Source organism: Homo sapiens, chromosome 3 (genome assembly GCF_000001405.40).
Source record: "Homo sapiens chromosome 3, GRCh38.p14 Primary Assembly".
In the NCBI taxonomy this organism is placed as follows: domain Eukaryota; kingdom Metazoa; phylum Chordata; class Mammalia; order Primates; family Hominidae; genus Homo; species Homo sapiens.
This window is the reverse complement of record NC_000003.12, coordinates 126,767,660-126,795,250: the sequence shown is the minus strand read 5'-3', so window position 1 is coordinate 126,795,250 and position 27,591 is coordinate 126,767,660. Positions and strand designations below refer to the sequence as shown.

Genomic DNA, 27,591 nt, shown 5'->3' with positions numbered 1-27,591 from the left:
AAACACCTTATAAATGACAGAACTGGGATTCACACTGAGGTCTGCATGTCTCTACCAGAGCATGAGCTCCTGGTAGGCAGGAGACGTGGGCAGCTATCTGCTGTGATGGCCAGCCCCAGCAACAAGGCCAGACATGCTCTCAGAATGAACTACACTCCCCATTCTCACAACACTGCAACCTGCAGCCCCTCAGGAGAGGCATACCTCCTTGTAGCTAAAAATGTCTAGGAGAATATTTTCACTCAAAAAAAAAATGGTATCAATAATATGCAAGACCAGAGGACCAAATCTATCCGTTGATGTGGCTCTCCAGATACAGCTCAGTTTCCCACATTTCAACCCAAGGTAACAAATGTTTGCTGATGTAGTTTACTGAGCATTGTCCTAGGGACTGCATCTACAAAGATTAGTATACACTGTCCCCCATTTCAAGACACTGTAGCAGGGACATCAGAGGTGAACACAACTAATATGATACTATTCTAAGAAGTCCAACAATAGCAGAAAGGGGAAAGAGCTGGCAATACCAGATACCAGAAGACAGTAGGAGAATATTTTCGAAGTACCAAGTTAAAATTATTTTGCCATAGAAGTCCTAGAAGTTTTATATACCAGCTGGAAAATGAAAGACATTTTTAGATGTGAAAAAATAAAGTTTACAAGATTCAAACTTTTTCTGAAAGGATTACTGGAGAAAACACTCCAGCAAAATAGGAAATGAACCCAATTTAAAAAATAAGAACTAGAGATATAAAAATGGATTTAATGGATAATGTAAACTTATACAAATAAATGTAATATATATATAAACATATATGTATATATATAAATATATACAAACTATACTTTTAAAAATGATAGTTTGGAACAAAAATATGGGGGGAAAACACAAAATGCAAAGAACCATTACAGTCTAAATGTAATATATATATAAACATATATGTATATATATAAATATATACAAACTATACTTTTAAAAATGATAGTTTGGAACAAAAATATGGGGGGAAAACACAAAATGCAAAGAACCATTACAGTCCTAGAGGAAAGGAGAAACGTATGATACAGAAAAAATACTTGCAGAAATAATGATTGAAAATTTCTCAAAGTTCATGAAAGAAAACCCTGTAGAGTCAAGAAGCTAAGCAAACCCCACATAGGATAAACCCAAATAAATCTACTCCCAGACAAATAAATCATAATCAAATTTTTGAAGAATATAGACAAAGAAAATACCTTGAAAGTACAAGAAATGAATGACACATTACCTATGGGAGAAAATGACAGTGAATTTCTCAACAGAAACCATGGAGGCCAGAAGAAAGTGGCAGAATATTTTTCACAATCTGAAGGAAAGCAATTGTTAACCCAACAGTCTATATCTGGTAAAAATATCTTTCAGGGATCAGAAAGAAAAGTAAAGACTTAGTGAAGGAAAATGAAAGGAATCTATCTGTTCCCAGGAGACCTGCTCCAATTGTTAAAAGAAGTTATTCAGATAGAAACGAAATAATTTTTAAAAAATGAAGAAAGGAAGGAGGGAGGGACAAATGAATGAACAAACTGAGAACATGTTTGGAATGAAGAAAGAACAATGGAAAGTGTAAATACAACAATGCCTCTCTTGAGTTTTAAAAATTATGTTTGACATTTGAAAGCAAAAAATTGTGTCACTGTCTGATGTGGCTCTCAATATATACACAGGTAATATTTAAGACAACCCCATATCATTATGGGGGGAGGGGAAAGGGATGTAATTGGTGGTAAGGTTTCTATATTCCACTTGGAGTGGTAAAATGTTGATACAGTAGACTGTGGTAAGTAGGTATATCATGATCCATAGAGTAACCACTAAAAGGCAAAGCAAAGAGAATATTTCAAAACGCTTCTGATTAATTAAAACAAAATACTACAAAATGTTCAAGTAACCCACAGGAAGACAGGGAAGGAGAAACAAAGGAATAAAAAACAGTAGAAGCATACAGAAAACAAAAAGTAAAATGGCAAACTTGAATCCTAACATATCATTAATTACATTAAATATAAATGGTATAAACATACCAATTAAAAGAAGAGACTGCTATAATGGACTTTTTAAAAAAGACCCTATTATATGCTAGCAAGCAAATTTATGTAGGTAGAATAAAGTATGAAAAAGATATACTATGTGAATACTAATGAAAAGAAAGCTGGATGGGCCATATTAATACCAGACAAAGAAGATTTTAAAGCAAAGAACATTACCAGAGAAAAAGTGAAACTTTACATAATGATAAAAGGGTCAATTCCTTGCCAAGACATAACAATCTTAATGCGTATGCACCAAACAACAGAGCTCCAAAATACACAGAACAAATGTAATACAACTGCAGGGAGAAGTAGGCAAATCTACAAAAATAGTTGAGGACTTCAACACAACTCTCAGAAACTGATACAACCACTAGACAGAAAATTAACAAGAATATAGAAGAACTGAACAACAACCATAAAAAATTGAATCTGACATTTACAGAACACTTCACATAACAATAAACATTAGTTTCAAACATACATGAAGCATTCACCAAGACAGACCATCTCCTAGCTCATAAAATGAACACTAAAATGCAAATTAATTGAAATTGTTAAAATATGTTATCTGACCACAAAGTATTAAATTAAAAATCAGAAGAAAAATAACAGGGAGCTCTCCAGAAACTGGAAAATTAAACAGTACAGTTCTAAACAAACCATGGGTCAAAGAGGAGGTCTCAAAGAAAAATGTAAAAGATGTATTTCAATACTAAACTGAATGAAAATAAAATAACACATCAAAAGTCTGTGGGCTGCATGGAGAAACTGGCACCCCTGTGCATGGAAGGTGGAAATATAAAATGGTGCAGTGCTACAGAAAACAGTTTGGTGTTTTCTCAAAAGGTTTAATACAGAACTACCATATAATGGACTTCTAAGTATATATTCTAGAATATATATTCTAATATATTCTATATTAGAATATATATTCTATATTAGAATATATATTCTAAGTATATATTCCTGAAAGCAGGAACTTGAACAGATATTTGTACACCAACATTCACAGCAGCATCATTCACAATAGCCAAAAGGTAGAAGCAACCCAAGTGTCCATCAACGGATGAATGGATAAACAAACTGCTATATATATACACAATGGAATATTACTCAGCCTTAAAAAGGAAGGAAATTCTGTATGTGTTATAACATGGACGAACCCCGAAAACGTTATACTTCGTGAAATAAGCCAAAGATGGACAAATACTATATAATTCTACTTATATGAAGTAACTAGAATATGCAAACTGACAGAAACAGAAAGTAGAGGCCAGCATGGTGGCTCATGCCTATAATCCCAGCACTTTGGGAGGCCAAGGCAGGTGGATCGCCTGAGGTCAGGAGTTGGAGACCAGTCTGGCCAACATGGTGAAACCCTGTCTCTACTAAAAATACAAAAACTTAGCTGGGCATGGTGGCATACACCTGTAATCCCAGCTACTTGGGAGGCTGAGGCAGGAGAATCTCTTGAACCTGGGAGGTGGAGGCTGCAGTGAGCCAAGATCGTGCCATTGCACTCCAGCCCAGGCAACAAGAGCAAAACTCCATCTCAAAAAACAAAAAAGGTCACACACCCACGGAGCCTCGCTCATTGTTAGCACAGCAGTTTGAGATCCAACTGCAAGGAAGCAGTGAGGCTGGGGGAGGGGCGCCCGCCATTGCTGAGGCTTGAGTAGGTAAACAAAGAGGCCAGGAAGGTCGAACTGGGTGGAGCCCACTGCAGCTCAAGGAGGCCTGCCTGCCTCTGTAGACTCCACCTCTGGGGGCAGGGCATAGCCGAACAAAAGGCAGCAGAAAACTCTGCAGACTTAAATGTCCCTGTCTGACAGCTTTGAAGAGAGTAGTGGTTCTCCCAGCACGGAGTCTGAGATCTGAGAATGGACAGACTGCCTCCTCAAGTGGGTCCCTGACCGCCAAGGAGCCTAACTGGGAGGCACCCCCCAATAGGGGCAGACTGACACCTCAAACGGCCGGGTACCCCTCTGAGATGAAACTTCCAGAGGAACATTCAGACAGCAACATTTGCTGTTCAGCAATATTTGCTGTTCTGCAGCCTCCACTGCTGACACCCAGGCAAACAGGGTCTGGAGTGGACCTCCAGCAAACTCCAACAGACCTGCAGCTGAGGACCCTGACTGTTAGAAGGGAAACTAACAAACAGAAAGGACATCCACACCAAAACCCCATCTGTACCTCACTATCATCAAAGACCAAAGGTAGATAAAACCACAAAAATGGGGAAAAAACAGAAGAGAAAAACTGAAAATTCTAAAAATCAGAGCACCTCTCCTCCTCCAAAGGAAAGCAGCTCCTCACCAGCAACGGAACAAAGCTGGATGGAGAATGACTTTGACAACTTGAGAGAAGAAGGCTTCAGACAATCAAACTTCTCTGAGCTAAAGGAGGAAGTTTGAACCCATCACAAAGAAGTTAAAAACCTTGAAAAAAGATTAGACGAATGGCTAACTAGAATAACCAATGTAGAGAAGGCCTTAAATGACCTGATGGAGCTGAAAACCATGGCACAAGAACTACATGACGAATGCACAAGCTTCAGTAGCTGATTCAATCAGCTGGAAGAAAGGGTATCAATGATTGAAGATCAAATGAATGAAATGAAGCGAGAAGAGAAGTTTAAAGAAAAAAGAGTAAAAAGAAATGAAAAAAGCCTCCAAGAAATATGGGACTATGTGAAAGGACCAAATCTACGTCTGATTGGTGTACCTGAAAGTGACAGGGAGAATGGAACCAAGTTGAAAAACACTCTGCACTATTTTACCCAGGAGAACTTCCCCAACCTAGCAAGGCAGGCCAACATTCAAATTCAGGAAATACAGAGAACACCACAAAGATACTCCTCGAGAAGAGCAACTCCAAGACACATAACTGTCAGATTCACCAAAGTGAAATGAATGAAAAAATGTTAAGGTCAGCCAGAGAGAAAGGTTGGGTTACCCACAAAGGGAAGCCCATCAGACTAACAGCTGATCTCTCAGCAGAAACTCTACAAGCCAGAAGAGAGTGGGGGCCGATATTCAACATTCTTAAAGAAAAGAATTTTCAACCCAGAATTTCATATCCAGCCAAACTAAGCTTCATAAGTGAAGAGAAATAAAATCCTTTACAGACAAGCAAATGCTGAGAGATTTTGTCACCACCAGGCCTGCCCTACAAGAGCTCCTGAAGCAAGCACTAAACATGGAAAGGAACAACTAGTAGCAACCACTGCAAAAACATGCCAAATTGTAAAGACCATCGAGACTAGGAAGAAACTGCATCAACTAACGAGCAAAATAATCAGCTAACATCATAATGACAGGATCGAATTCACACATAACAATATTAACCTTAAATGTAAATGGGCTAAATGTTCCAATTAAAAGACAGAGAGTGGCAAATTGGATAAAGAGTCAAGACCCATCGGTGTGCTGTATTCAGGAAACCCATCTCACGTGCAGAGACACATATAGGCTCAAAATAAAGGGATGGAGGAAGATCTACCAAGCAAATGGAAAACAAAAAAGGCAGGGATTACAATCCTAGTCTCTGATAATCAAACAGACTTTAAACCAACAAAGATCAAAAGAGACAAAGAAGGCCATTACATAATGGTAAAGGGTGCAATTCAACAAGAAGAGCTAACTATCCTAAATATATCTGCACCCAATACAGGAGCACCCAGATTCATAAAGCAAGGCCTTAGAGACCTACAAAGAGACTTAGACTCCCACACAACAATGATGGGAGACTTTAACACCCCACTGTCAACATTAGACAGATCAACGAGACAGAAAGTTAACAAGGATACCCAGGAATTGAACTCAGCTCTGCACCAAGTGGACCTAATAGACATCTACAGAACTCTCCACCCCAAATCAACAGAATATACATTCTTCTCAGCACCACACCGCACTTATTCCAAAATTGACCACATAGTTGGAAGTAAAGCACTCCTCAGCAAATGTAAAAGAACAGAAATTATAACAAACTGTCTCTCAGACCACAGTGCAATCAAACTAGAACTCAGGATTAAGAAACTCACTCAAAACTGCTCAACTATATGGAAACTGAACAACCTGCTCCTGAATGATTAATGGATACATAACGAAATGAAGGCAGAAATAAAGATGTCCTTTGAAACCAATGAGAACAAAGACACAACACACCAGAATCTCTGGGACACATTTAAAGCAGTGTGTAGAGGGAAATTTATAGCACTAAATGCCCACAAGAGAAAGCAGGAAAGATCTAAAATTGACATCCTGACATCACAATTAAAAGAACTAGAGAAGCAAGAGCAAACACATTCAAAAGCTAGCAGAAGGCAAGAAATAACTAAGATCAGAGCAGAACTGAAGGAGATAGAGACACAAAAAACTCTTCAAAAAATCAATGAATCCAGGAGCTGGTTGTTTGAAAAGATCAACAAAATTGATAGACCGCTAGCAAGGCTAATGAAGAAGAGAGAAGAATCAAATAGATGCAATAAAAAAATTATAAAGGGGAGATCACCACTGATCTCACAGAAATACAAACTACCATCAGAGAATACTATAAACACTTCTACACAAATAAACTAGAAAATCTAGAAGAAATGGATAAATTCCTGGACACATAGGCCCTCCCAAGACTAAACCAGGAAGAAGCTGAATCCCTGAATAGACCAATAACAGGCTCTGAAATTGAGACAATAATTAATAGCTTACCAACCAAAAAAAGTCCAACACCAGACGGATTCACAGCAGAATTCTACCAGAGGTACAAGGAGGAGCTGGTACCATTCCTTCTGAAACTATTCCAATCAATAGAAAAAGAGGGAATCATCCCTAATTCATTTTATGAGGCCAGCATCATCCTGATACCAAAGCCTGGCAGAGACACAACCAAAAAAGAGAATTTTAGACCAATATCCCTGAAGAACATCAATGCGAAAATCCTCAATAAAATACTGGCAAACGAAATCCAGAAGCACATCAAAAAGCTTATCCACCATGATCAAGTGGGCTTCATCCCTGGGATGCAAGGCTGGTTCAACATACGCAAATCAATAAACATAATCCATCATATAAACAGAACCAAAGACAAAAACAACATGATTATCTCAATAGATGCAGAAAAGGCCTTTGACAAAATTCAACAGCCTTCATGCTAAAAACTCTCAATAAATTAGGTATTGATGGGACGTATCTCAAAATAATAAGAGATATTTATGACAAACCCACAGCCAATATCATACTGAATGGGCAAAAACTGGAAGCATTCCCTTTGAAAACTGGCACAAGACAGGGATGCCCTCTCTCACCACTCCTATTCAACATAGTGTTGGAAGTTCTGGCCAGGGCAATTAGGCAAGAGAAAGAAATAAAGGGTATTCAATTAGGAAAAGAGGAAGTCAAACTGTCCCTGTTTGCTGATGACATGATTGTATATTTAGAAAACCCCATCGTCTCAGCCCAAAATCTCCTTAAGCTGATAAGCAACTTCAGCAAAGTCTCAGGATACAAAATCAATGTGCAAAAATCACAAGCATTCCTATACACCAATAACAGACAAACAGAGAGCCAAATCATGAGTGAACTACCATTCACAATTGCTTCAAAGAGAATAAAATACCTAGGAATCCAACTTACAAGGGATGTGAAGGACCTCTTCAAGGAGAACTACAAACCACTGCTCAAGGAAATAAAAGAGGATACAAACAAATGGAAGAACATTCCATGCTCATGGATAGGAAGAATCAATATCGTGAAAATGGCCATACTGCCCAAGGTAACTTATAGATTCAATGCCATCCCCATCAAGCTACCAATGACTTTTTTCACAGAATTGGAAAAAACTACTTTAAAGTTCATATGGAACCAAAAAAGAGCCCGCATTGCCAAGTCAATCCTAAGCCAAAAGAACAAAGCTGGAGGCATCATGCTACCTGACTTCAAACTATACTACAAGGCTACAGTAACCAAAACAGCATGGTACTGGTAACAAAACAGAGATACAGACCAATGGAACAGAACAGAGCCCTCAGAAATAATACCACACATCTACAACTATCTGATCTTTGACAAACCTGACAAAAACAAGAAATGGGGAAAGGATTCCCTATTTAACAAATTGTGCTGGGAAAACTGGCTAGCCATATGTAGAAAGCTGAAACTGGATCCTTTCCTTACACCTTATACAACAATTAGTTCAAGATGGATTAAAGACTTAAATGTTAGACCTAAAACCATAAAAACCCTAGAAGAAAACATAGGCAATACCATTCAGGACATAGGCATGGGCAAGGACTTCATGTCTAAAACACCAAAAGCAATGGCAACAAAAGCCAAAATTGACAAATGGGATCTAATTAAACTAAAGAGCTTCTGCACAGCAAAAGAAACTACCATCAGAGTGAACAGACAACCTAAAAAATGGGAGAAAATTTTTGCAATCTACTCATCTGACAAAGGACTAATATCCAGAATCTACAATGATCTCAAACAAATTTACAAGAAAAAAACAACCCCATCAAAAAGTGGGCGAAGGATATGAACAGACACTTCTCAAAAGAAGACATTTATGCAGCCAAAAGACACATGAAAAAATGCTCATCATCACTGGCCATCAGAGAAATGCAAATCAAAACCACAATGAGATACCATCTCATACCAGTTAGAATGGCAATCATTAAAAAGTCAGGAAACAACAGGTGCTGGAGAGGATGTGGAGAAATAGGAACACTTTTACACTGTTGGTGGGACTGTAAACTAGTTCAACCATTGTAGAAGTCAGTGTGGCGATTCCTCAGGGATATTGAACTAGAAATACCATTTGACCCAGCCATCCCATTACTGGGTATATACCCAAAGGACTATAAATCATGCTGCTATAAAGACACACACACATGTATGTTTATTGCGGCACCATTCACAATAGCAAAGACTTGGAACCAACTCAAATGTCCAACAATGATAGACTGGATTAAGAAAATGTGGCACATATACACCATGGAATACTATGCAGCCATAAAAAATGATGAATTCATGTCCTTTATAGGGACATGGATGAAGCTGGAAACCATCATTCTCAGCAAACTATCACAAGAACAAAAAACCAAACACCGCATGTTCTCACTCATAGGTGGGAACTGAACAATGAGAACACTTGGACACAGGAAGGGGAACATCACACACTGGGGCCTGTTGTGGGGTGGGGGAAGAGGGAAGGGATAGCATTAGGAGATATACCTAATGTAAATGACAAGTTTATGGGTGCAGCACACCAACATGGCACATGTATACATATGTAACAAACCTGCACGTTGTGCACATGTACCCTAGAACTTAAAGTATGATAAATATCTACTTATATATATGTATAAAAGAAACAAAGTAGAAATTACCAGGGGCTGGGGGGAGGAAAAATTGGGACATTTATTATTTAATTGGGGACAGTTATTATTTAATGGATAGAGTCTGCAATGATGAAAAAATCTGGAAATGCATAGTGATACGGCTGTAAAACATGGTAAATGTACTTAATGCTAGTTAATGTATACTTTAAAATGTTTAAGATGGTTAATTTTATATTATGTAAATTTTACAATTTAAAAACAAACTATGAGCTGTACCTAAAGCACAGCTCAGAGGGAAATGTACAACATTTGTGGCAAGCAGCTCCCAAAGATCCCCTTCTGGTATTCACATCACTGTGTTATGCTCTCCCTTGACTATGGGAGCAAGAGTGACTGTCAGACTTCTGAGAGCTAGAAGATAAAATGTTCATGTGTTTGAAGCCACTAACTGGTAATCTGTTACAGCAGTAATAGAAAACTAACACAAAGCAGTTTCCAACTAGGGTGATTTTGCCCCCTGCCCCAGGGTGACTTTGCTGCCCACGGGAGATATGGAAACATCTGGAGATTGTTTTGGTTGGCACACCTAGAAAAGTGTTATTGGCATCTAGTGAGTAGAGGCCAGGGATTCTGCTAAACTTTCTATAATGAAAAGGACAGTCACCACCCGCCAGCCACACAACAAAGAAGCATCCAACCCAAGATGTCACCAGAGCTGAGGCTGAGAAACTCTGTACTATGGCCGTGCAAGTTGTGCAAGATGACATTACTGGAGAAAAACTGGATGAAGGAAACATGGGAATTAAACATTTTTGTAAATATATAAGTATAATCACAAGGAGAATAGAAGAATACACAGCTTCTAAACCACTAGAAGCAGGAAAAATAAATACATAAAGTACTTTGGAAATTCTGGGAAAATATATAAGCTAAGGAAAAGGAATCAATAGGGAGGGGAAAATGAAAAACACAAGCAAAAGGAATGACAATTGGTATATAAAAGTCCAAAAAAACCTCTCAAAATCCAGTGAGGATCACAAGTATGAAAGGAAAATAGTGAGTGAAGAGACAGGCACTAATGTGAAAGCGTGAAACTGGGGGAGGAGGGGTCAGATTATTTGGCCCCTTTTTTCTTCCATGAACTGAGAGGCAGTGGTATCTGCTGACACTGGGGGATGCCTGAACAGGGAAAGGTGTGAAAAGTTTCTGTGGGAAAATTATATGGGGCATGAGTGAGGGTGGGACGGTGCTGTTGCTGAGCAGCACTGAGGCTGGGCAGCTCTGTGTGGAGTACACCAGGTAGTCTACAAATTAGCACCAAAGCTTTCTCCAGCCACATTCCACAGTTGGGGGCAGAAAGCAGCAGCAAGGCAGTGGGGGCAGGTATTATGTATAATGAGTGCTAGCAGGAGGAGAGTGACATCCACAATGGCTGACAAGGGGGTCTGCCCTGGGTGGGAAGACAAAGGAAACAGGAAGAGGCTGCTGGGCTGAGAACAGGGAAGTTTTCAGAATGCATTGAAAGGAAAGAGAAAGTTCAATAGGAAAGAGAGCACGAAGAGCAAAACAGTGGAACTGTGGTCAGAGAAAACTTTTGTTGTTCAAGATCTTGATAGAAGCCTGGGTTTCTTATGGAGAATAAAGATGGGCACCACTGAGGAAAAGAAAACCATGAGGCGGTGGGGAGTGTGAAATAGATTCCTGCCCATCCTATTTGTGGCAAGCACATCTACTGACTCTCACAGAAAGCTACCTGCAGGCAGCTGTCAAGAGTTCTCCATGTACAAGACATAGTGTCTCCAGGAGAGGTCAACAGAAAAATGAGTGCAGTGGGGATACAAAAAAAGGTTCAAACAGATTCTCCCCATTCATATTAAGAGTGCCCTCTTACCCTCCCCCAAAAGTATTGAATTACTTATCTCTTTCTGATCCAAGTTCCTTAACAAGGACAATCTCATGAATTTAATCCCAGTTTGTACCAGACCCCCCTCCCACCACGTAAAATGGCAGGCCTGCATGCCTGATCATGGCCCCAAGCTGCACCTCTCACACAGCCCTCTACCTTACAGATCACAGCTGCTGATCAAAAAGGCCTCTGAGGCTCCAAACCAAGTAGCCTCACTAATGGAAAAACATCTCAAAACCTAAAGTTGATGCTATGTAAATGGGATTGTTTTCTTAATTTCTTTTTCAGATAGGTCATTATTAGTATATAGAAATGCAATTGATATTTCTATGTTGATATTGCATCCTGCAATTTTACAGTTCTAACAGTTTTTTGGTGAAGTTTTTAGGAACTTCTATATATAAGACCACTTCATTTGCAAACAGAGACAACTTAACTTCTTTTCTGATTTGGATGCTTTCTATTTCATTTTCTTGCCTGACTGCTCTGGCTAGGACTTCGAGCCCTGTGTTGAATAGAAGTGGCAAGAGTGGGCACCCTTGTTTCTGATCTTACAGAAAAAGCTTTCAGTCTTTCACTGTTCAGTATAACATTAGCTGTGGGCTTGTCATATGTAGCCTTTGTATACTGAGGAACATTTCTTCTATATGAATGCTGACGATTTTTATCATGAAAGGATGTTGAATTTTGTCAAATGCTTTCTACAGCTATTGAGATGATCACATGACATTATGCTAGGTGAAATAAGCCAGTCACAGAAAGACAAATGCTACATGATCTCACTTATATGTAGAACTTAGAGAAACAAAGGGTGGATGCCAGAGGCTATGGGGTAGGGGAGAGGTAGGTCAAAGAGTACAAACTTTCACATATAAGATGAATTTAGTTCTGGATATCTAATGTACAGAATGGTGACTATAGTTAATAATCAGTGGGGAAATGACTCCCTATTCAATAAATGGTGCTGGACTAACTGACCAGCCATATGCAAAAGATTGATACTGAACCCCTACCTTACACCATATACAAAAATCATCTGCCTGCCCAGCATCCATTCCCCCTTCTGGTAAAAGCCTGTTGATTATGTGTGTTTTGGGGGTGGAGGGAAGAATGACTGTTTCCTCCCACAATGTGTGCATTCCTGATTCCTGGCAAGACAGTCGAAGTGCTCCACCCTCCACTGCCAAGGGTGTGACTTGCTCAGGAATTTGAAGCAATCAAGTATGAGATGGCAGACTGGAAACGCTGGAGCTGATTCATTCTAGAGTGGTGTCTGCGGGAGGACCTGCCTACTGATGCCCCCACCTTGGACCCTGAGTCTAGCTCTCTTCTTCTAAGGCCTGCTTCTTCAACTTTCCCTTTGCTTCTGTGAGCTTCCCTGTATCCTTGTAGTAAATTCACATCATTTTGCTTGAGTTAGGCAGAGCAGGCTTTCATTGAAGAAATTTAATGAAAGGCAGCATCGGATTGGAATCAGAAACGGCTGGCCTCCTTTCTCTAAAGCGTATGACATCGGCCTGGGCCTTACTCAACCGTCAATGAAATGTAATGTCAGACAGCTCGCAGTCAGAGGCCAGAACAGACACTAAAACCAACAGGGAAGTGGGCAACATCCAAAGACTAGGAGAGACAGAAGGGCCTGGCACTGTAGAAATGCAAGAGTAAGAACAGAGCACAACAAACAGGCAGCCCCTTCATTATTCAATTACTCACTATGTAAATCGAGAATTAATGTTCACGGGTTCTGGTGAGTGACATAATTACAATTTAGAAAGGGCAATTAATCATTGGCTTGTTGTTCACTGCCTTGCTGGGAGCAGTTTGCTTCATGAACACCAGTAAAGCCACAAAAGTATTAAACACACGAATGACTACCACCACCAAATTCCAGTCTTCTTTTCCCTCTCCCCACCCGCCAACTCCTCTGACTGGGCTCAGCCGCAGATCTTACATCTGTTTCTCATTTCTCGTGTGACACTCCCAGACCCTCCCCTAATCTCCACCCTCCAAGAAGAGGCTTTTCCCCTTCACTGCTGGCAAAGACAAGGGCTTCCTAATACTGTTTGCTGCAAGAAAAGAAAAAGACTTTGGGCCTCTGGATCTCAGCTCCAAGAGGCTAAAAAAGAGAGTGGGAAAATGAAGTTGAGAGAGACAAGGATAAAGAAGGAGGGAATGGCAAGAATGAAAGGCAGATGGATGAAATGGGCTGGGTACCGGGATAATGCAGGCCTCTCAGCATGGGCGCAGAACACTGGCATCTGGCTCTGAAAGCAGGGCTGCCAGCAGCATCTTCTCCAGATCAGCATCTTTCTACAGACTGAAGGCAGCCCTTGCTCCAGTCCTGACCCCTCGCCTGATGCCCAGCTGCTCAACTGGACTCCAAAACCATACACAAGGCAGGAGGCCAGCAGATGCATCTCTGTCTTCTAACAAGCAGATTGCAACTAAGTGTTCTCCTAGAGGATGCATTTCCAGGAGAAAATCCCTTAAAGAAAAAACTTCAGGGATCTAGTTCTACTTCATGAAACCAGGCAAGAATGAATATTGTCACTTCAATGCTACCACTGCCTCAGGCCAAATTAGAGTATTACTGCTTCTAACTCTTGTGCTAGAAATGGCCCTGCTGGTCTGAGACCTCTGTGCGTGTATGTCTGTCTTGGCCTCTTCCACCGTCTTGACTATAAAGATCCTGGGGTAGACACTGTTCATTGGCGCCCTAGCAGCCACTCCCCTCTAAAGCTCCTACCTTCCTTCATGCCAGTGGAGTCCTAGTTTTGTAGGCATTTACTTCATGCCTCTGATCTCAGGAAAGGCAGGCTCTTCTGGCAGCCTCAGGGGAAGCTGTGCCCAATCTAGTGAAACCATGGTAATCCTACTGTCCTTTACAGTGGTGGGTCTGAGATGGTCACAGGTCTCAGCTCCAGCCAATGAGACATGTGCAAAAGTGGCTGGAGAAGTGTCTTTCCTGCTTGAGGTGCTGATGTGAGGACTGGATGCCTTGTGACCATGAGGGAAAAGGCCACAGAACTGTGGGGAAGCCACCATCTGCTCAGACACAGGTGGAATAGCACACTATATCAGCATTCGTCTGCCTGCAGTCTTCTTGTGCAGGAAGATAATACATGGTTGGGCTGTTAAGCCTCTGATAGTTGGGTGTTCTGTCCCTTGAGGCCAAAAGCAGTCCACACACAGCAGCATTACCCTGAAGCACAGCCTCTTCACACACCTTGCTAATTAATCCAAAGGCCTGAAACAGCACCACAGAGGTAGGATGACCAAGGATCTTAGCAAGCGGGCCATCAAGGCCACTGCAAGTCTAGACAGGCAAGCCAGAATCAAGAAGATGACCCTCCAAAGCAAGGGAGAATCAGGCGAAGATAAGGGGCCATCTGTGTAATAAAAGGGGGGAAGATTAAACAGGGAAAAGAAAGTACAGAAAATACTATTTTGTATATGCATCAGCTACCTCTGGACGAACACAGAAGAAATCAATAACAACTCTTACCCAAGGCAGGGAGCCAGGCGGCTGGAAGATTGGAGTGATGGAGCCTTTTTATTGGATACCTTTGGACTTTTGAATCATGTCAATGTATTATCTGTTCAAAAATAAAACCACAAATGAAGGAAATTAATAGAAAAAACTAAAAACAAAAGGTGGGAGAAACCCTCCCTTAGGTGTTTCCCTAACTTTCATTATCCAAGTGATGAAAACACTTGAAGACAAACCATTCTTAAATTCTGGATGGCTAGACCCAAGCTTACGTGCCTGATAGGAGCTCTCCATTAAAAGGGATGATTAGTGTGACAAACACAGATGCATCACACTGAGACTTTGTTTTTTAAATACACAGAAGGTAAATCACTATACGATTTGCTTACTACAGTATTAGTGATATAAGCTCATTGGCAGGATCTGGAACACACTTAACTGACCAAAAGGAATATTCTCTCACATTTTCATTGATTAAGTCTCTACAGCTGGCTCTGATGCACTCACAAGACCAGTATATAGTAGATACTGAGCTGGATGCTAAAGAGAAGTAAAGATAAATAGGACATGACTTTTTCTTGCCCTAAGGAGTTTATAACCTTAATAGGGCAGATAAGACATACAACAGAGGTGCTTAATATCTGTATTTATCTATTATGAAATCAACTATATATGCTTGGCAAAAACTAAATATTTTTACTTTCAACAAGCATGCCAGGACAACTCAATGGGGAAAGACTAGTCTTTTCAACAAATAGTGCTGGGACAACTGGATATCCAGAGTTTTGTTTGTGAATAATGGATTTAGACCTCTGTCTTACACCTTACATAAAAATTAACTCCAAAGACATCACAGACCTAAATATAAGAGCTAAAACTATAAAATTCTTTTTTTTTTTTTTTTTTTTTTGAGATGGAGTCTCGCTCTGTTGCCAGGATGGAGTGCAGTGGAGCGATCTCGGCTTACCGCAACCTCCACTTCCCAAGTTCAAGTGATTCTCCTGCCTCAGCCTCCTGAGTAGCTGGGAGTACAGGCACGCGCCACCATGCCCAGCTAATTTTTGTATTTTTAGTGGAAACAGGGTTTCACTATGTTGGTCAGGCTGGTCTCAAACTCCTGACCTCGTGATCCACCTGCCTTGGTGTTCCAAAGTGCTCGGATTACAGGCGTGAGGCACTGCACCCGGCCTAAAACTACAAAATTCTTAGAAGAATCATAGGTGTAAGTCTTCAGGACCTTGGGTTAGGCAAAATCTTACTAGAGGTGACAATAAAAGTACCAGCAATAAAGAAAAATTACCAGGCACAGTGGTTCATGCCTATAATCCCAAAACTTACTTAAATAAACAAATAATAAAAAGTAGGTAAACTGGACTTCATCAAAATTTAAAACTTTTGGCCTGGTGTAGTGGCTCATGTCTGTAATCCTTTGGGAGGCATTGCCTGAGCCCAGAAGTTCAAGACCAGCCTAGGCAACATAGTGAGACCCTCTCTCTACCAAAAAAAAAAAAAAAAAAAATTTAATGAGCCAGGCGTGGTGGCACATGGCTGTAGTTCCAGCTACTCAGGAGGCTGAGGTGGGAGAACTGGTTGAGCCCAGGAGTTCAAGGCTGCCTGCAGTGAGCTATGATTACACCACTGCACTCCAACTGGGCAACAGGGCAAGACCCTGTCTTCAAAAAACACTGAAAACTTTTGTGCTTCAAAGGACACTATCAAGTAAGTGAAAAGAAACCCAGGAAATGTGAGAAAATTTTTGTAAATCATTATCTCAAAGGATTACTATCCAGAACATATCAAAAAAACCTCCTTCAGCTCAACAGCAAAAAGACAAATAATCCAATTAAAAATGGACAAAGGATCTGAATAGACATTTCTCCAAAAAAGATATATAAATAGCCAATAAGCACATGAAAAGATATTCAACATCATTAGCCATTAAGAAATGCAAATCGTAACCACAATGAGATACCACATCACATCCACTAGGATGCCTATACTCAAAAAGACAAGCGTTGGTGAAGATGTGGAGAAACTGGAACCCTCACACATTGCTAGTGCGAATGTAAAATGGTGCTGGCAGCCACTTTGGAAAACAGTCCCAACATTCCTCAGAAAGTTAAACATAGAGTTACTATTTGATCCAACCATTCCATTGCAAAGTATATAACCAACAGGAATAAAAACATATCCACAGAAAAACTTGTAGACAAATGTTTACAGCAGCACTATTCATAGTAGCTAAAAAAGTGGAAACAGCCCAAATATCCATCAACTGGTTAATGGATATATAAAATGTGATATGGCCATACAATGGAATATTGGTGGTAGAAGGAAATGAAGTACTAATACATGCTACAGCATAGGTGAATCTTGAACACATTATGCTAAATGAGAAGCTAGTCACAAAGACCACATATTCTATGATTCCATTTATATGGCATGTTCAGAACACACAAAAATCCATAGAGACAAAGTTGATTAGATGTTGCCTGGGACTAAGGGTTGTGGGAAATAGGGAGTGACTGCTAATGGGTAGAGAGTTTCTTTTGGGAGTGACAAAAATGTTCTAAAATTGACTGTGGTGATGGTTGTACAACTCTATGAATATACTAAAAATAATTGAGTTAGATACTTTGAATGGGAGACATATGGTAAGTGAATTATATCTTAATAAAGCTGTTAAAATAAAACCAGTTTTCTTTAAGCTTTGAAAATGGAGAACAATTGCCATTCCTCTCAATGAGCAAATGCCTTGGAAAGGAGCTCAACGTGCCTGCTACAGGGCTGCCACCTATGGCCATGCAGGCTGAGCCCCAGAGTGGGAAGTATGGAGTGGGAAGTATGCAGTGTGGCAGTGCTTATCTAAGCAGAAGAGGTGCCTCCTGCAGTCTGCCTCATTTCTGTGTGTCTCCTAGAGGGTATCTTGTTACACTTAACAAGCTCATCCAATGTTGAAGATTAGCATTTTTTCTGTAACATGGCCCCAAAACACAAGCGGCTATTTCACGTGGTTCTGATTTGGTGCTGAAATAACTATTGATTTGGTAACTAATGATCTGGGGCTGATCTGATGCTGAAATAGTGATTTGCCTAATGTAGAAGAAAAAAACTGAGTGTACTGAACTGCAAACCCAAACCTAACCAGTCTTCCTTCCTAAAATGTATGCCTGGGTAGTTTTGACCATGTATGATTTCTACCTTACAAGCTGATTTGAAGTCTGAATACCTTGGAAAAGACAAATCCATTAAATAAAAACATAGAAAACCAGGTAAAATAAGTATTATAAAGAAATGCTATGGGTTTCAAGGGAGGGGAGAAGAAATGACAGCTGACTGGCAGAGTAGCATGGGACGAGAATGGCTGGTGTGGCAGGTGAAGTCTGAGCTAGACACAGAGGGTGGAAGAGACTGAGACAGGTGGGCTGGCTCAAAGGCATAGAGCGGCAGGGAGGCAATAATGAAGAGGAAGACCCTGAAACTAGAGGCCAGGTCTTCACCTACAGCTCTGGCACTTTCTAGAAGTGTGGCCTGGGGCAAGTCACTTTGCCTCTTTGTGTCCCAGTTTCCTATAAAGTGGGAATAACACCATATGTAATTGAATCTAAGACACCATCGATTATAACATGAACCATTATTCCATTACCACTAAGAAAAAAAATGATGTTGGTTATGTCACTGGTTATAAAATGTATCCCTAATTCAAAGATGTTATAAGAAAAAAATTCACCTCAGAATTGAATATGGTAACAACTACTCAGAGTTGATATGAGAATTAAATGATTATATGTAAAGTAAATATGATTGCTGTTGTTGCTATCAATATTTGACAAATATTTGTTGAGCAACTACTAAGTGCCCTCAAGGTCCTATGCCTAAGATAAACATGGTCCCAATCCTTAGGAATTCAGAATCGATCCAAACAGGACAAAAAACAGGGAAGTCAGAAGAGGGATGTGTGCAGGACTGGTCACAGGTGGTGATCTCTAGCTTGACTGGAATATAACTGAAGCCTCACTTTACTGAGCTGAGAGAATGTAAGGCAGATTAGGATCTAAAGTAAAGAGAGCATCAGACATAATCAGAACTCTTCTTGAAACACCCTGTCTCCCCTGTGAAGTACATATATACAACTTTATATCCAATTCTGTATGATACTACAAAGGCAGTGACATAGAGTACCCAGGATAGCATCCATATGCAAAATATAATTTAGGAGCCATGTTGTACCAAAAACAATGTTCACACTAAAACGCACTGTAGCAAGATGCTCAAACTATTAACAGAGAAATTATTAAAGAAGACCCAAGACAACCAGAAGCACAGCCAATTCATGTTTCCCACTCCACATTCACCCCAAGGCAACACCTACTAAGGGAATGGTAGCTGAGCCGATCATCATATTCTTCCACTTCAGATCCCAGCTCACCTTCCACACTGGTCTCCGTGATGCTGGGCCTGGCTGGCACTCAGCGAATCCCACTCCTGTGTGGCGATGTGGCTCCATGAAAGTCTCTCCAATAGGGAGTGCTACAGGAAATCCGCACCTGCACCCAGTGTGCTTCCTCTCCCTTCTTGTTCTGAGGAACATGACCCCAGCAGGGTTCCTTTACCGGAACAGTTCTGCCCTGGAGCAGCCGCTGATTTGAGCCTGCAGTTTTTCCAAAACCCGCAGAAGCAACTTCATCATACCTCACCCTTGAAGATAAAAGTCTCAGCCATGAGGTGCCCCTCCATGAAGCTCTGAGTTACATGGGGACTTTCCTTAACCTCTAGAGTTTTAGTAACTGTGACATCTTCCCTTTGATTCTTCAGCCCTACAGCTGGTGGTAGCTGCTGCTTGCGGTTGCTAACTCCGTAATACTTTAATGTTCCCTTTTACCCTTTCAATAACCTAGTTAATAACCTTGTACCCAGTTACTGACTTTTGAAATCAAATTCTCTGCTCCAATAATTGCTGTAGTTTCTCCTGGCTGGGCCTTAACTGATACAGCAACATATTACTCCTCACTTTCTATTTTAAATTCTCTCTCGGGACATGAAGAGGCAATTCATAAGAGAGGGAAAAATCAGGCCCATAAATATATGAAAAATATTCAATCTCTATTTGAAACCAAAGAAACAAAAATTAATACCACTGACACACATTTCTGTCTGTCAGATCAACAAGATGGAAAAGGATGCTAGGACTCAGTGCTGGCCACAGGCACTCTCAGACACTGCTGGTAGGAACGTAAACTGGAATTACTGTCTTATGGAGGAAAATCTGATGATAATGTGAACCAAATCTTTGAAATTTAGGTCAAAAAATAAGACACTGCAAGAGTAGATTCACTTCTTCCTATTGCCTCTGCAAATATAGCTAAAAACCCTGGACATCACATACACAAAGCAGATATAAAAAGGTTCTAAAAAGCAGATACAAGACGGCAGTGTGGCTAGGAGCCTCAGGACCCAGAATGATAGGACAGTGGATTCCCTGAGTTTTCTTCTTGCCTCATTATCTCAGACTGGGTGCTGGAGGGGATGCCAATGGGAATAAACCAGGAAAGCCCCCCAGAAAAGCCAGCTCTTTCTAGCCAAAGGACCAGGAAAGAAGCAGCTTAGCAAGACAGTCAAATTTAGACAGTAAACTTTTAGATAACAAGTACACTGCTCCAGCCTAACACCACAGAAATAGCTGCACTGCCACCCTCACCAGCAAAGGCCAACTGGAGACCCTGGACTTCCACCCTCACAAAACAAGATGCCTCAACCCACCTTCCCTGCCAGGGTGTCAGAGAAGAGCAAGGGTGGTGGAGCTCTGACTACCACCCAAGCGTGGTGAGGCCTTCCCTGTCGGTGGAGATCACTTGGGGAGCAGTAAGCAGGTGCCCTTCCCCATCCCAGCCAGGGTGGTATCAGAGAAAGGCCTAGTGGGGAGCACGAAGTCGTGGTTCCAGGAATTTACAAGTAATAAAGTGACATGGAACTACACATATACATTGTACCAATGCCAACTTTTTGGTTTTGATATCGTATGATATTTACACAAGATATAACTTCTGAGGGAAATATGATGAAGGATACATGGGCCCTCTCTCTACTATCCTTACAACTTCCTGTAAATCTGTAATTTCCAAAAAATGTTTTAAGAAAGCCTTTGCAAAAGGGCATAAGAGAACTTTTTGGGAAGCTGAACAGTCTCTGTATCTTGACTGAGGTGGTTATTATATGGTTGTTACATGTTACACTCAGCAAAATCACCAACCTGAGCACTTAACGTGTGAATTTTATTGTGTATACATTAAACCTCAATAAGTTATATTTTAAAATATGCTATTAAAATATCTGAATCATATCAGTACTAATAAACAGGAAATAAAACTCTTAAATAGAATGCCAACTAGTAAATATAGAAGACATTACAGAAATATAAAATCATCATTTTATAACCACTAGCATAGTGATTCAGACAAGAATCATCAAAGAAGAGAAAAATGGTGGGACAGGCAGCTCCAAGCTCTCATCCTCCCACAGAAACATAGAAAAATATGCAGAGGCTGGGCACAGTGGCTCACACCTATAATCCCAGCACTTTGGGAGGCCGAGGCAGGAGGATTGCCTGAGCTGAGGTGTTCAAGACCAGCCTGGGCAACATAGTGAAACCCCATCTCTACTAAAATACAAAAAATTAGCTGGGCATGACAGTGTGTGCCTGTAATCCCAGCTACTTGGAAGGATGAGACAGGAGAATTGCTTGAACCTGGGAGGCAGAGGTTGCAGTGAGCCAAGATCGTGCCACTGCACTTCGCCTAGGCGACTCTGACGCTCTGTCTCAAAAAAAAAAAAAAAAAAAAAAAAGAAAAGCAGAAACTGTCAGAACCAACTTTCTCAAAGCTCTGAAAAATAGTCCAAAGTTTAAAACAAGCAAGAGAATGCTGAATAAAGAAAAAGGCCACTTGAGAACAGTAGGAAAACTTTCTGGTGTTTTTACTTGCCTTTGCCCTATCGCTGTCATGGCTCAGTTGTAGCCACATTCCCAACGTGAGACTCTGGTCCTTGGTTCCACAGGGAGCACGGCAGGTATTACTCGTAAATTATTGTGTGCATCTGTTCTAACCTGTCTGACGGCTGCCTGAAGGACTGATGCAAAGCACTTCTCCCTTTCACCTAATTCAGAACTAAGGCTGGAAAAGGGCAGGTATTACTTGAAAATACTGCAGGGAGAAAACACCTGCAAGACATTACACAAGAAGACCATCCCCAAGACATATAATCATCAGATTCTCCAAGGTCAAAATGTTAAATGCAGTTAGAGAGAAAGGGCAGGTCACCTACAAAGGGAACCCCATCAGGCTAGCAGCAGATCTTTCTACAGAAACCCTGCAAGCCAGAAGAGATTGGGGCCCTATATTCAGCATTCTTTAAGAAAAAAAAAAAGTCTAACCAAGAATTTCATATCCAGCCAAACTAAGCTTCATAAGTAAAGGAGAAATAAGATCCTTTTCCGACAAGCAAATGCTGAGGGAATTCATTACCACTAGAACTGCCTTACCAGAGGTCCTGAAAGGAGCACCAAATATTGAAAGGAAAGACTATTACTGGCCACTACAAAAACACACCAAAGTACATAGACCAGTGACACTATGAAGCAACCACACAAACAAATCTGAATAAACAGCTAATAACATGATGACAAGTTCAAATTCACACATATCAATACTAACCTTGAACATAATTGGGCTAAATACCCCATTGAAAGGCACAGAGTGGCAAGCTGGATAAAGAAGACCCAATGGTATGCTGTCTTCAAGAGACCCATCTCACATGCAATGACATCCACAGGCTCAAAATAAAGGAATACAGAAAAATCTACCAAGCAAATGGAAAACAAAAAATAGCAGGAGTTGTAATCCTAATCTAAGAGAAAACAGACTTTAAACCAACAAAGATAAAAAAGACAAAGGGCGTTACACAATGGTAAAGAGTTCAATTTAACACGAAGACCTAACTATCCTAAATGTATATATACCCAACACAGGAGCACCCAGGTTCATAAGGGAAGTTCTTAAAGACCTATGATCACGCCTGTAATTCCAGCACTTTGGGAGGCTGAAGCAGGCGGACGAGGTCAGGAGATCAAGACCATCCTGGCTAACATGGTGAAACCCTGCCTCTACTAAAAATACAAAAAATCAGCCAGGCGTGGTTGCGGGCACCTGTAGTCCCAGCTACTCGGGAGGCTGAGGCAGGAGAATGGCGTGAACCCAGGAGGCGGAGCTTGCAGTGAGCCGAGATTGCGCCACTACACTCCAGCCTGGGTGACAAAGCAAGACTCTATCTCAAAAAAACAAAAAACCTATGAAGAGACTAACATTCCTACATAATAGTAGGTGTAGATTTCAACACCCCATGACAGTATTAGAGAGACCACTGAGGCAGACAATTAACAAAGATACTCAAGACCTGGACTCAACACTTGACCAAATGGACCTAATATACATCTACAGAACTCTCCACCCAAAAACAACTTCATATTGCCACATGGCACATACAGAATGACTTTTGGGTAAGTAATGAAATTAAGGAAGAAAACAAGTAATTATTTGAAACTAATGAGAACAAAGATACAACATACCAGAATCTCTCAGGACATAGCTAAGGCAGTGTTAAGAGGGCGGTTTATAGCACTAGATACCCACATCAAAAACTTAGAAAGATCCCCAATTAACAACCTAAATCACAACTAGAAGAACCAGAGAAGCAAGAGCAAAATAGCCCCAAAGCTGGAAGACAAAAAATAACCTAAATCAGAGCTGAATTGAAAGAAATTGAGACATTAAAAACCATACGAAATATCAACAAACCCAGGAGTTGGTTATTTGAAAAAATAAATAAGATAGACCACTAGTTAGACTAACAAAGAAAATAAGAGAGGAGAACCCCCCTTTAGGGGGCCAGGCGTGGTGGTTCATGCCTGTAAGCCCAGTACTTTGGGAGGCCGAGGTGGGCGGATCAAGATCACGAGGTCAGGAGATCAAGACCATCCTGGTCAATATGGTGAAACCCCGTCTATACTAAAATACAAAAAATTAGCCGGGCGTGGTGGTACATGCCTGTAGTCCCAGCTACTCAGGAGGCTGAGGCAGGGGAATTGCCTGAACCTGGGAGGCGGAGGTTGCAGTGAGCCGAGATTGCGCCACTGCACTCCAATCTGGCGACAGAGCAAGACTCCATCTCAAAAAAAAAAAAAAGAAAAGGAAAAAGAAAAAAAGAAATAATAAAGGGTACATTACCACTGACCCCACAGAAATAGAGAAAATCATCAGAGACTACTACGAACAACTCTATGCAAAGAAACTAGAAAATCTAGAAGAAGTGGATAAATTCCTGGACACATACAACCTCCCAGGACTAAACCAGAAAGAAATTAAATCCCTCAACAGACCAATAACAAGTTCCAGAATTGAATTAGCAATAAAAACCCTACCAACCAAAAAAAGCACAAGACCAAATGGATTCACAGCTGAATTCTACCAGATTTATAAAGAATAGTTGGTACCATTCCTACTGAAACTATTTCAAAAAATTGAGGAGGAGGGACTTCTCCACAACTCATTCAATGAGGCCAGCATCATCCTGATACCAAAAACCTGGCAGAGACACAACAAAAAGAGAAAGCTTCAGCCCAATATCCTTGATAAACACAGATGCAAGAATCCTAAACAAAATACCAGCAAACCAAATCCAGTAGCACACAGAAAAGCTAATCCACCATGATCAAGTAGGCTTTATCCCTGGGATGCAAGGTTGGTTCAACATACGCATATCAATAAATGTGGTTCAACCCATTCACTGAACTAAAAACAAAACCACATGACCATCTCAATAGATGCAGAAAAGGTTTCCTATAAAATTCAACATCCCTTCATGTTAAAAACCCTCAATAAGTTAGGCATTGAAGGAGCATACTTGAAAATAAGAGCTATCTATGACAAATCCACATCCAGTATCATATTGTATGGGCAAAAGCTGGAAGCATTCCCCTTGAAAACTGGCACAACACAAGAATGTCCTTTCTGATCACTTCTATTCAACATATTATTGGAAATCCTGGCCAGAGCAATCAGACAAAAGAAAGAATAAACAGCATCCAAACAGGAAAAGAGGAAGTCAAATTATCCCTATTTGCAGACAACATGATTTTATATCTAGTCTCTGCCCAAAGCTCCCTGATCTGATAAACAACTTCAGCACAGTTTCAGGATACAAAAGCAACATACAAAAATCAGTAGCATTACTATACACCAAAAACATCCAAGCCAAGAGCCAAATCAAGAGCACAATCCCATTCACAATAGCCACAAAAAGAATAAAATACCTTAGAATACACGTAACCAAGGAGGTAAAAAATCTCTACAATGAGAATTACAAAACAAAACAAAACATGGCTCAAAGAAATCAGAGATGACACAAACAAATGGAAAAACATTCTATGCTCACGGATACAAAAAACTAGTATGATTAAAATGGCCATACAGCACAAAGCAATTTACAGATTCAATGCTATTCCTATCAAATTACCAATGATATTCTTCACAGAATTAGGAAAAACTATTTTAAAATTCATATTGAATTCATATTCAAAAAAGAGCCTGGGCCAGGTATGGTGGCTCATGCCTGTAATCTCAGCACTTTGGGAGGCCAAGCTGGGTGGATCACTTGAGGTCAGGAGTTCAAGACTAGCCTGGCCAACATGGCAAAACCCCATCTCTACTAAAAGTACAAAAAAAATTAGCCAGGAGTGGTGGCACAGGTCTGTAATCCCAGCTACTCGGGAGACTGAGGCAGGAGAATCATTTGAACTGGGAGGCAGAGGTTGCAGTGAGCCAAGATCGCAACACTGCACTCTAGCGTGGGCAACAGAGTGAGACTCCATCTCAAAAAAATGAAAGAAAAAAAGAGCCCAAATAGCCCAGGCAATCCTAAGCAAAAAGAACAAAGCGGGAGATATCATGTTACCCAACTTCAAACTATACTACAGGGCTACAGTAAACAAAACGGCAGAGTATTGGTACAAAAACAGACACACAGACCAACGGAACAGAATAGAGAACCCAGAAGTAATGCCACATACCTAAGAATCATCTAATCTTTGACAAAACCAGCAATGAGGAAAAGACTCCCTATTCAATAAATGGTGCTGTGATAACTGGCTAGCTATATGCAGAAGAGTGATACTGAACCCCTACCTTACAATACATACAAAATCAACTCAAGATGGATTAAATATTTAAATGTAAAACCTAGAACCATAAAATACTGGAAGATACCATTCTGAACATAGGACTTGGCAAATATTTCGCAACAAAGACACCAAAAGCAATTGCAACAAAAACAAAAATTGGCAAATGGAATCTAATTAAACTAAAGAACTTCTGCAGAGCAAATGAAACTATCAACAGAGTAAACGTGCGACCTACAAAATGGGAGAAAATATTTGCAAGCTATACATCTGACAGAGGTCTAATACCTAGAATCTACAAGAAACTTAAGCAAATTAATAAGCAAAAAAATAACCCCATTAAGAAGTGGGCAAAGGACATACATGCAGCCAATGAGCATATGAAAAAATGCTCAACATCACTAACCATTAACGAAATGCAAATCAAAATCAAAATGAGATACCATCTTACACCAGTCAGAATATTATTAAAAAGTCAAAAAATAATAGATGTTGGCGAGGTTGTGGGGAAAAGGGTATGCTTATAGACACTGCTGTGGGAATGTAAATTACTTCAGCCTCTGTGGAAAATGTGGCGAGATTCCCCAAAGAACTTAAAATTGAACTATCATTCAACCCAGCAATCTCATTATTGGGTATATACCCAAAGGAATATAAATTGTTCTGCCATAAAGACACACACATGCATATTGTATTAGTCCGTTCTTGCACAGCTATAAAGAAATACCTGAGACTGGGTAGTTTATAAAGAAAAATGGTTTAACTGGCTCGCAGTTCTGCTGCACAGGATGAAAAGGTACACAAGAAGAACAAGTTCTTCCTGTGCATGGCTGTACAGGAAGCATAGTGGCTTCTGCTTCTGCAGAGACCTCAGGAAGTTTCCAATCATGGTGTAAGGCAAAGGGGGAACAGCTGTCTTACAGGGCAGAAGCAGGAGCGAGAGAGAGAGGTTAGGGGAGGTGCTACACACTTTTAAATAAACAGATCTCACAAGAATTCACTCACTATCACACAAACAGCACTAAGGGGATGGTGCTAAACCATGCATGAGAAATCTACCCCCACGATCCAATCACTGCCCACTAGGCCCCACCTCCAACACTGGGGATTACAATTCGACATGAGATTTGGGCGGGGACACAGACCCAAACCATATCACATATGTTCACTGCAGCACTATTCACGATAGGAAAGACATGGCATCAACCTAAATACTCATCCATGGTACACTGGATAAACAAAATGTGGTACATGTACACCATGGAATACTATGCAGACATAAAAAAGAATGAGATCGTGTCCTTTGTGGCAACATAGATGGAGCTGGAGGCCATTATCCTAAGCAAACTAACACAGGAACAGTAAACCAAAGGCTGCATGTTCCCACTTACAAGTGGGAGCTAAACAATGAAAACACTTGGATACTAGGAGGGGAATAACAGACACTGGGGCCTACTTGAGGGTGGAAGGTAGGAAGACGGAGAGAATCAGAAAAAATACCCTTTGGGTACTAGGCTAATTATCTGGGTGATGAAATTATTAGTACACCAAACCCCTGT

General features: G+C 40.6%; 1 protein-coding gene across 2 annotated transcripts in view; it reads right to left on the bottom strand.

The window, feature by feature from the left end:
• CHCHD6 (coiled-coil-helix-coiled-coil-helix domain containing 6) overlaps positions 1–27,591 on the bottom strand; it is a 256,181-nt gene that overhangs the window by 165,170 nt on the left and 63,420 nt on the right. The window lies entirely within an intron of this gene.